This window comes from Homo sapiens, chromosome 5 (assembly GCF_000001405.40).
Source record: "Homo sapiens chromosome 5, GRCh38.p14 Primary Assembly".
Classification (NCBI taxonomy): domain Eukaryota; kingdom Metazoa; phylum Chordata; class Mammalia; order Primates; family Hominidae; genus Homo; species Homo sapiens.
This window is the reverse complement of record NC_000005.10, coordinates 135,518,134-135,530,306: the sequence shown is the minus strand read 5'-3', so window position 1 is coordinate 135,530,306 and position 12,173 is coordinate 135,518,134.

Genomic DNA, 12,173 nt, shown 5'->3' with positions numbered 1-12,173 from the left:
TTTTAAAGGCTACACTGGTTGTTATACGGATGATAGATGCTGGAGCCAGGGCAGAATCAGGGACCTAACTAAGCAGTTGACCATTAGTCCTGTAGAAAGGAGTATATGGTGCAAAGCTGATGAAAAGTGGTCAGAACCAGGACACACTTTGAAGATAGAAACACCAGGATTTGTTGTTGAGCATGAAAGAAACAGAGGAATCAAGGATGGCTTCAAGGATTTGAAGTAGGAGCAATGTGGATACAGAACCTATCCCAGAAAGCCCTCTACAAATGGGTAATTTTGCCTGAAATGCTCATTTTAGTACCTAAAACAAAGATAGAAACATGAGTCTCGGGGTCTGTATTAGTCTGTTTTCACACTGCTGATAAAGACATACCTGAGACTGGGCAATTTTTTTTTAAAAAAAAAAAGAGGTTTAATTGGACTTACAGTTCCACGTGGCTGGGAAGCCTCACAACCATAGTAGAAAGCAAGGAGGAGCAAGTCATGTCTTACATGGATGGCAGTAGGCAAAGAGAGAGCTTGTGCAGGAAAACTCCTCCTCATACTATCAGATCTCATGAGACTTACTCACTATCATGAGAACAGCACGGGGAAGACCTTACTTCCCACGTCCCTCCCACAACACATGGGAATTCAACATGAGATTTGTGTAGGGAAACAGCCAAACCGTAACAGTGTCCATGAGCTAAAAAGACAGGTTGGTGCTCAAGAGAACCACAACTTTGTCTGAATCGGGGCCTAAGATAAATGCCCCAAAGAAAATTTATGGCAAGGGTAGGGGAAGGGACTTGTGGTGTCACGGCCAATGCCCTCAGTATCACCAACCCATCCTTGCCACCCTAGTTAGCCCTTACGTAGCACTTACCCTGTATTCTGTGCACTGCTCCAAACAAACCACACATAGTAACTTATTTAATTCTTCCACCCATGAGGTTGATAATATAATTATCTCCATTTTACAGATGAGGGAAGTGAGGCACAATCAAAGAACTTACCTAAGATAACATGGCTAGTAACCCACGAAGCTGGGATTTGAACCTAGGGAAACTGGCTTCAGTGCTCCTGCTGTGGTTTCAATTATCTCTCAAGGAATAAAAATGAAGTGCAGCTGAGTGAAAAGCTGGGGCTTAGCTTCAAGCCCCAGTCTAACACAGGAGTAAGCTGGATCATAGCAGGAGGCAGGGCCACAGCTGCCATTCTAGGGCCTTTTGCTGAATGAGGAAAAGGGCACGTTCACCCTATTCTCTCACTTAGGTAGGAGAGAACTAGCCTGAGAGGGTTTAAGGGTGAGTTCTCTGGCAAAGACCTGGGGTATCAGTTTGCAGAACCAACAGAGCTAAGAACCTGGTGGCATCCTCTTGTGAAAAATCAGTCTCCACAAATCCACATCTCTCTAGAAAGCCCCATACATTTTACCAGTCAGTCCTAGACTTTTTTTTAGAAAATATGTATGCAGTTGCTCCAACCTCAGCCAAGCAGGGAATCAAGGCTGCAAAGTTCAACACCAAAGAGACCAATGGTGAAGATTTTAGCACAGAAGATGCTCCTGGTAAGTTTTACCAGTTGCCTGCAATGGCCATAAGCCAGTAATATGCCTAAGTATATCTCTCTTTAGGAGCTGTCACTTCCCAGAGAGGCTCAGGACAAACTCTCAGCTCAAGCACTGAGTTTACCTGCTGCTTACTGGGCTAATGGCCAGAAGCCAGGCAACCCTGAAGGCAGGATGGTAAAACTAGATGTTGGGGTTTCAGATGGCTGAGCTTATGCCATCCATTTTGGCAGGGTACTGTTTGTCTTCTAAGGTCACTGTCTTGTTCAGATGAAGACCACTGTGTCATTGACAGATGTCATCTTCTGGTCTTGAGAGTAAGGGGAAACATGCATCCAGTTTATGCCAAAGTGGTCTCAAGTCTCTGAGATACAAGCAAAAAGGAGAACCAGAGTATACACTGTTTCATTGACTCAAATTTGATCTTCGCTCTGTCTAAAGAACTGCACTTGGCCCTTAATTGTATGCTGCTTGCTTCTATTAGGTTAAACTCATCCTGACACAAACTGAACACCTCCTGCATAGCCAGCATATGAACTTGGTAGATTGTACTATTGTTCACAATTGTTGGTTCCTTCCCCTACTTTTACCATGCACTCCTATGTAGGCTGATAGTCCTTCCTGTCCCAGTGACTCTGGCCTTGGTAATGGGACTGGCTTTGGCTAATGGATTGTGAGTGCACGTAAGCTATGCCACATCCAAGCAGATGCTTTCCTTGCATTTGTACAGTTTGTCTTTGTCTCCACCTCTGCTTTCTCCAGACTCTGCTTTCCACATGAGGACAGCAGGACTGAGAAAGTGGCCACCTGTGTTAGTTTATTTTGCATCACCATAAAGGAATACCTGAGGCTGGATAATTTATAATGAAAAGAGGTTTAATTGGCTCACAGTTCTGCAGGCTGGTCACAAAGCATGGCACCAGCATCTGCTCGGTTTCTGGTGAAGCCTCAGGGAACTTTAATTCAAGGCAGAAGGCAAAGCGGGAGCAGACCCATCATGTGGTGAGAGAGAGAACAAGAGAGCGTGAGCAAGACAGTGAGGAGGAGGTGCCATGCGCTTTTAAACAACCAGATCTCACATGAACTCAGAGCAAGAATGTACTCATTACCATGAGGACAGCACCAAGATATTCATGACGGCTCCACCCCCGTGATCCAAACACCTCCCACCAGGCCCCACCTCCAACACTGGGGATTACATTTCAATCTGAGATTTGGAGGGGACAAACATCCAAACTGTATTGCCACCCCTTCAGCTTCAGTTCCAAATGAGAACTACCTGCTCAATTCCTCATCTCAGGGTCTGCTTCTGGGAGATTCAAAAAAACAAGGTAGTCTATATCTGAAATCTGTTCATAGTCTTTTCCTCAAAGAAATCTGATCAAAATATGCTGTACCACATAACTACACCTGGCTCTTCCTAGAACTGAATCCAGCTGCCTTAGCTTGTATACTCACCCATCCTCTCCATATCACCTAGGCCAGGACCACAAGAGCCCTCTCACCACCCACCAAACACAGCAGGGCCTTTCATGACTCTATGTCTTCTACCCACTTGTCTCCTATCTGGCTATCCCCAGGCCCTCACTCATCCTTCAAACTGCAGCTCCAGTGCTTTTTCCTCTGTGAAGCCTCTTCAGATATCCTAGGCAGACTTAGTCATTCCAACTTCCTCTGGGCTCTTATCACACTCAGTCACCTTCCTGATTATTGTATACACTGTGAACATGTCAGTTTCTAAGGGACTTCAGATTTCTTAAGCCCAAGAGGCAGCTCCAAGCCCCCTAAGACCTCTAATAATCCCCAGAACTTATATGCCATTATTCATGCGGTGCTTTGGTGCAATTCACAACTTGACTGGAGAATCACTGAAATAGTTCCCAGTCTTCCTAGGGAGGACTTAGGTAGTTCAGGCCAAGGAGAAATAAGTTGACTTTATTCGATCTTTCATCTGGTCCCAGCCATTTTCCCTGAAGGGAGAAGGCTATAACTCTGCAGGCAGACAGCCTTGTGGGTATGGGAGGGGGAGAGATACAGTAGAGAACCAGCCGTCACCTCAGGAAGGTGGCCAAAGGAACTGACCACTCACTTTTGTTTCAGCCACAGCCAACTCAGAGGTGCCCAAAGCACCTTGTTCTCTTCAGATTTCTTACCATCTCAACAGGGCTAACACCAAGGATGGAGCCAGTGATTCATAATTGCTCCAAGCCCAGAATCATTTTTGTTTTGTTTTGTTTTTGTTTTTGAGACAGGGTCTCTATCTGCTGGGAGTGCAGTGGCAATATCACAGCTTACTGCAGCCTTCACTTCCCAGGCTCAAGTGATCCTCCCACCTCAGCCTACCTCAGCCTACTAAGTAGTTGGAACTGCAGGGACATGCCACCCCACCTGGCTTTTTTTTTTTTTTTTTTCTTGTAGAGATGCAGTCTTGTTATGTTGCCTAGGCTGGTCCCAAACTCTTGGGCTCAAGCAAGCCTCCTGCCTCAGCTTCCTAAATTGCTGAGATTATAGGCATGAGCCACAGTGCCCAGCCACAGAGTTATTTTAGATTTCACTTGTTTGGAGCCTGGGGACTGAGGCTGCTGGGTATTCACTGAAATCTCTTCTTTACTTATTCTAGGACACATGACTAGACTATATTTCCCAGAATCCTTTGCAATTAGGCATGACCATGTGACTGGGCCCTTTTCACTGGGTCATGAGTAGAAATGTGAGCCATTTCTGAAACTTAGACTAAGACAATGGTGGAAACTTGAACTTTCATGTAAAATGTAAGAAGCTCAAAGAAAATCACTCTTACTCTAAAAATGAGAAAATCCAGATAATCTACAAAATCATTACTTTTCTTGAGCCAACAAGAAAGCTGAGGTCACAAATTGATTAAATTACAAAGATGGGAAAGCCCCCCTGACCAGGGGAGACAGGGCATGTTGACTGTTTCACCTCAGTCAAAGCACAAGAGAAAGAGGTGGCTTAAGGTAGGTAAGAATAAATCAACTAAAATTTTAATAAAATTTTTAACACCAAGTTAGGGCTAGGGTGTCAGTTTGGAACAGGGGAGCACACACCTACTTGCAAGCTGTTATCCATGAGCCTTCATCAGGTATTCACAAGAAAGATCAGGTCAGAACAGAAGACTGGAAGTTCCTCTGGTGGTAAAGGAGTTTAGGAAGTGATTTCTGCTTGGGAATAGGCACAAACCCCACTCATTTTCCCAGAGATTTCTATCCTTTAAGCAGACACATTAAGCCACTGAAGAAGGTAAACTATCTTCCCTAGAATATAGGCATATACCTATTGGTTCTATGGAGAAATAGAAACAAAATCCACCTGCTTCTTGTAGAGGTGTAGGAAATTATCTCAACCTCAGGACAAAGGCAAAGATCAATTGCTGCTAGAGGAGAAGTAGAGGCAAACACCGTATTTCCTGGGGGAAGGGTAAGGATCCTGTACCAATACCAAACAAAGTCTGCTACTCTGAAGGGAGAGAAAAAGGAAATTCCTTCCTTCCTCAGAACAACCAAGATAGGGTTTGCCTGCCAGGCAGGTATGGTGCTGGAAATCTTTAATTATGAAGCCAAGATGCCTAGGACTTGCCAAAGACTGAGGCTGGATGCTGTTATGAGCCTAACATTGAGTAATAAGCAACATCAGTCTAGTCCTGGAAGAGGAACAAGAGTATGGATAGAGATGCCCCCCTGGAGCACAGGCAGCCAAGAATAGTTGAAAGCTGAGGGAGAACAGAAAAAAAAAAAACAAAAACAAAAACCTCTTGCATCCCCCTCATCCCACTCTAATGAAAGAACATAGTAACAGTCCACTGCTGACGGGATTGGAAGCGTGTGGTGCACTTGATATGCTTTGGCTGTATCCCCACTCAAAATCTCATCTTGATTTGTAATCCAAATTGTAATCCCCATATGTTAGAGGTGAAACCTCATGGGATGTGATTAGATCATGGGGGAAGTTCCCCCATGCTGTTCTTATGATAGTGAGTGAGTTCTCATGAGATATGATGATTTTATAAGGGGCTTTTTCCCCCTTCACTTGGCACTTCTCTCTCCTGCTGTCATGTGAAGGACATGTTTGGTTCCTATTCCACCATGATTGTAAGTTTCCTGAGACCTCCCCAGCCATGCAGAACTGTGAGTTAATTAAAGCTCTTTCCTTTATAAATTACCTAGTCTCAGGCAGTTTTTCATAGCAGTGTGAGAACGGACTAATACAGTAAATTGGTACCAGGAGTAGGGCACTGCTGTAAAGTTATGAAAATGTGGAAGCGACTTTGGAACTGGATAACAGGCAGAGGTTGGAACAGTTTGGAGGGCTCAGAAGAAGACAGGAAAATGTGGAAAGTTTGGAACCTCCTAGAGACTTGTTGAATGGCTTTGACCAAAATCCTGACAGTGATATAGACAATGAACTCTAGGCTAAGGTGGTCTCAGACGGAGACGAGGAACTTTTTGGGAACTGGAGTAAAGGTCACTCTTGCTATGCTTTAGCAAAGAGACTGAGAGGCAGCTTTTTGCCCCTGCCCTAGAGATTTGTGGAACTTTGAACTTGAGAGAGATGATTTAGGGTATTTGGCAGAAGAAATTTCTAAGCAGAAAAGCATTCATGAGGAAGCAGAGCATAAAAGTTTGGAAAATGTGCAGCCTGACCATGCAATAGAAAAGAAAAACCCATTTTCTGGGGAGAAACTCAAGCTTGCTGCAGAAATTTGCATAAGTAACGAGGAGGCAAATGTTAATCACCAAGACAATGGGGAAAATGTCTCCAGGCCATGTCAGAGACCTTCACAGCAGCCCCTTTCATCACAGGCTCAGAGGCCTAGCAAGGAAAAATGGTTTTGTGAGCAGGGCCCAGGGTCCCCCCACGCTCTGTGCAGCCTCAGGACATGATGCCTGCATCCCAGCTGCTTCACTCCAGCTGTGGCTAAAAGGGGCCAAGGTACAGCTCAGGTCATTACTTCAGAGGGTGAAAGCCTTGGTGGTTTCCATGGGGTGTTGAGCCTGTGGGTGCACAGAAGTCAAGAACTGAGGTTTGGAAACCTCCACCTAGAGGATCAGAGGATGTACAAAAACACCTGAATGTCCAGGCAGAAGTTTGCTGCAGGGGCAGAGCCCTCATGGAGAACTTCTGCTAGGGCAGTGTGAAAGGGAAATCTAGGGTCAGAGCCCACACACAGAGTCCCCACTGGGGCACTGCCTAGTGGAGCTTCCAGACCCCAGAATGGTAGATCCGCTGACAGCTTGCACTGTGTGCCTGTAAAAGCCACAAGCACTCAATGCCAGCCTGTGAAGGCAGCTGGGAGGGAGCTGTACCCTGCAAAGTCACAGGTGCAGAGCTGCCCAAGGCCAAAGGAGACCACTTCTTGCATCAGTGTGACCTGAATGTGAGACATAGAGTCAAAGGAGATCATTTTGGAGTTTTATGGTTTAATCACTGCCCTATTGAATTTTGAACTCTCATGGGGCCTGTAGCCCCTTTGTTTTGGCCAATGTCTCCCATTTGGAATGGGTGTATTTACCCAATGCCTGTACCCAGATTGTATCTAGGGAGTAACTAACTTGCTTTTGATTTTACAGGCTCATAGGCAGAAGGAACTTGCCTTGTCTCAGATGAGACTGTGGACTTTGACTTTTGGGTTAACGCTGGAATGAGTTAAGAATTTGAGGGACTACTGTTGCAAGGGAATGATTGTGTTTTGAAATGTGAGGACATGAGATTTGGGAGGGACTGGGGTGGAATGATACGGTTTGCCTGTGTCCTCACTCAGAATCTTATCTTGAATTGTAATCCCCATGTGTTGGGGACAGGACCTCATGTCAGGTGATTAGATCATGGGGGCAGTTCCCCCACACTGTTCTCATGACAGTGAGTGTGTTCTCATGAGATCTGATAGTTTCATAAGGGTCTTTTTCCCCCTTTGCTTGGCATTTCTCTCTCCTGCTGCCATGTGAAGAAGGATGTATTGGCTTCCCCTTCCACCAGGATTATATGTTTCCTGAGGCCTCCCCAGCCATGCAGAACTGTGAGTCAATTAGACCTCTTTCTTTTATAAATTACCCTGTCTTGGGCAGTTCTTCCTAGCAGCATGAGAACAAACTAATCCCACTGAAGATAATAATAACTAGAAGAAAACAAACTAAGCTCAGCTCCTGACTAGACTGACTGAACACCCACCCCTCCTTACATATTAACTGCATAACAAAAATAGTGGCATGTCCAGGCATAACATTATGCCTCAAGCTCTACTGTTCCTCTACCTATGATGCTCAACATTAATCAAAAATCACAAGACACACTCAAAAAGAATAAGAAACAACCTACTCCCAAGAAATAAAGTAATCAACAGATCCAGACTCAGATGCAGCCTAGACATTAAGCCTAGATGTTAGAATTTTCAGATAGGAAATTTAAAATAGCCATGATAAATATTTTAAAACTCTGTTGGAAATGATGGGCAACATGTTTGAACAGATGGGGAATTTCAGCAGAGAAATGGAAACTATAAGAAAGAGTTACATTAACATGCTAGTAAATAAAATAGAATATCCAAGATAAAAAATGTATTTGATGAGCTCAGCAGTAACCTGGAAAGCCGAGGAAAGATTGTAACCTTGAAGATAGGTCAACAGACTTTATCAAAACTGAAACACAACGAAAAAAAGAGTGGGGTAGTTCAGTGTTCAGAGCAGAACATTGAAAAAATGTGGAAAAATAGAAAATAGTTTAACATACATGTAACTGGAGTCCCAAAAGAAGAAAGAAGGAACAGAGCAGAAGAAGTACTTGAAGACATAATGATTTGGAATTTTCTGAAAATAATGGAAGACTTCGTAGCACAGACTCAACAACCTCAGAGAAACTCCAAAGAGAACAAGTTAAAAAACAAACAAACAAACTTTAGGTGTGGCGGTTAATGGTTTGGATGTCTGTCCCCTCCAAATCTGAATTGTAATCCCCAGTGTTGGAGGTGTGGCCAGTAGGAGGTGCTTGGATCATGTGGGCAGATCCCTCATGAATGGCTTGGTGCCATCCTCACAGTAATGAGTGAGTTCACATGAGATGTGGTTGCTTAAAAGAGTATGGCACTTCCCTGCTGTCTCTCTTGTTCCCATTCTCACCATGTGATACACTGCTTCCTCCTTCACCCTCTACCATGATTATAAGCTTCATGAGGGCTCACCAGAAGCGGATACCAGCACCATGCTTCCTGTATAGTTGCAGAACCATGAGCCAAAATAAATCAATTTTCTTTATAAACTACCCAGCCTTAGGTGTTTCTTTATAGCTATGCAAAAATGGACTAGCACAGTGGCACATGCCTGTAGTCCTTACTTGGGAGGCTGAGGAAGGAAGATTGGTTGAGCCCAGGATTTCGAGACTACAGTGAGCTATGATTGTGCCACTGCACTCTAGCTGTGTAACAGAGTAAGACCCTGTCTCAAACAAAACAAAACAGAAAAAACTAGACACGTTGTAATTATAGTCAAACTGCTGAAAACCAAAGATAAAGCAAAAATCTTGAGGGTAACCAAAGGACAAAAAGACACACTGAATACAAATTAATAAAGATAACAAATATGACACTTTTATCATCAGTAATTATGCAAGCCGAAAGACAATAGAGTGATACCATAATGTGCTGAAGGAAAATAACTATGAACCCAGAATTCTATACCCACCAGAGAAAATAACCCTTTCCAAACTGAAGGCATATAAGGACCTTTTTCAGACAAACAAAAGCAGTGAAAATTTATTGCCAGAAGACCAGTGCTACATTAAATTTTAAGGAAAGATCTTGGAGAAGAATAAGTTTTGTGATATTGTTAAATACATATTTGGTCTTTGTCCCTCTTTCCTGACACATAGCTCCTAAAACCCTTGGAATCTACAGAGGAATAAGAGTGTCTTTTGAATGCTAATGAGATGACTAGTGGCTAGCAGCCCCTACACAGCTTCAAGATAGGAGCTGGTCATCAGAAAGACCAAGGTATAAATACAGTGTCAGGACCAACCCACCAACCTCCAGGGAGGGAAGAGGGGCTGAAGGTTGAGTTGATCACCAATGGCCAATAATGTCATCAATAATGCCTATGTAATAAATCCTTCATAAAACCCCAAAAGAGCAGAGTTTGGATGGGCTTCTAGTTAGCTGGACATATGGAGTTTCCTGGAGGGTGGTGCACCAGGAGAGGGCATGGAAGTTCTACACCCCTTTTCCCATACCTCACCCTAAGCATCTTTCCCATCTGGCTTTTCATCTGTATCCTTTGTAATATACTTTTTAATAAACCAGTTATCTAGGGATTTTCTCGAGTCCTGTGAGCTGTTCTAGCAAATTAATCAAACCCAAGGATGGAGTTGTGGGAACCCTGATTTATAGCCAGTCAGTCAGAAGTACGGCTCACAACCTCTGCTTGTGATTGCCATCTAAAGTGGCGGCAGTCTTGTGGAACTGATCCCTCAACCTATGGGATCTCCAGGTAGACAGTGTCAGAATCGAATTAGAAGAAACTCAACTGGTGTCTGCTGGAGAATCTCCTGCAGAGTTGTCTGCTGGTGGGGAGAAATCCCTGCACACATTTGGTGACTAGAGTGGAAACGTTGTATTGAGTGACCATGTGAGAATTTTTACAAACACTTTGGTATGTATACATAAAACTTTGATGTCAAATGAAAACTTGAATCTATACAAAGAAATAGAGTTAAGGAAATGGTAAAAATAAATGTAAAAGACCCTTTTTCTCTTATTTTCGGTGACTTTAAATTGTATAAAACAAAATGAATAGCAATGTATGTGGGGCTTATAACATATGTAAAAGTAAAATATATGGCAAAAATATTTCAAAGAATGAGAGGGAGGAATTGGAAGTAGAGTCTTGAAAGATTCTTTCACTTTATATGAAGTGGTATAATATTCTTTGAAGGTAGACTCACATAAGTTAACAATGTATATTGTAAACCAAAAATTTTAAACAAGGTATAACTAATAAGCCAATAGTGGAAATAAAAAGAAATAATAAAAATAATTAACCTAAAAGTAGATGGTAAAAGAAGAGGGGAAAAGGACTAAAGAACAGATAAGACAAATCAAAAACAATTAGGAAGACAGAAGATTTAAATTCAATCACATCAATAATTATATTAAATGTAAATTACACTTAAAGGCAAAGATTATCACATTGGACAAAAAGGCAAGACCCACTTACATGCTATCTACAAGAAATTCACTTCAAATGTGAAGTTATACACAGATTAAAAGGAAAGGAAAGAAAAAAGGTGTACCATGCAAATACTAATTAAAAGAAGCTAGAATGGCTATATTAATATCAGACTAAATAGACTTCAGAAGAAGGATTATTTCCAAGGATAAAGAGAGACATTACATAATGATAAAGGGAACAATTCACCATGAAGACATACAATCCTAAATGTGCAAACACTTAACAATGAACCTCCAAAATACATTTAAAAACTTATACAATTCAAAGAACAAATAGATAAATCCACAACTATAAAGACTTCAAATCCCATTTCTCAGTATCTCAGTAATGTATAAAGAAAGTAGACAGAAATGGGCTGGGTGTGGTGGCTCACGCCTGTAATCCCAGCACTTTGGGAGGCCGAGGCGGACAGATCACAAGGTCAAGAGATCGAGACCATCCTGGCTAACATGGTGAAACCCCGTCTCTACTAAAAATACAAAAAAATTAGCCAGGCATGGTGGTGGGCGCCTGTAGTCCCAGCTACTTCAGAGGCTGAGGCAGGAGAATGGCATGAACCCTGGAGGCAGAGCATGCAGTGAGCCGAGATTGTGCCACTGCACTCCAACCTGGGTGACAGAGTGAGACTCTGCCTTAAAAAAAAAAAAAAAAAGAAAGCAGACAGAAAAACAGTAAGGGGATATAGAAGATCTGAACAACACTATTAACTAACTTGATCTAATTGACATTTGTAGAACACTCCACCCAACAACAGCAGAATGTATTCTTGTCAAGCACACATAACATATTCACCAGGAAAGACATATTCTGGACCATAAAGGCATATCAAGAAATTTTAAAAAATTCAAGTCATACAAAGTAGATTCTCTGGCACAGTAGAATTAAACTTGAAATTAATAGCAGAAAAAAAATCTCAAAAATCCAAATAATTAGAAATTAAACAACACACGCCTAAATAACCCAATCATGGAAGAAAAAGTCACAAGAAAAATCAGAAAATACTTTTAATTGAACAAAAATGAAAACATGAAAATACTTGCCAGAATTCTGGGAAAGTTGCTAAAACAGTACTTTGGGGAAAATGCATAGCATTAATAATTGCTTTATTAGAAAACAAGAAAGATCTGGACTCATTCATTTAGATTTCTTCTTAAGAAAATGGAAAAACTAAGAAAATTTGACTCAAAGCTAGCAGAAAGACAGACATATTAAGGCAAGAGCAAACTTCAGTGAAATTGGAAACAGAAAGCCACAGAAAAATTTTACGGAACCAAAAGTTGGTTTTTAAAAAATAATCAACAAAGTCGATAAACTTCTAACCAAACTGATCAATAAAAGAGTGAAGATATAAGTCATCAGTATCCAGAATTGAAGATGGAACATTA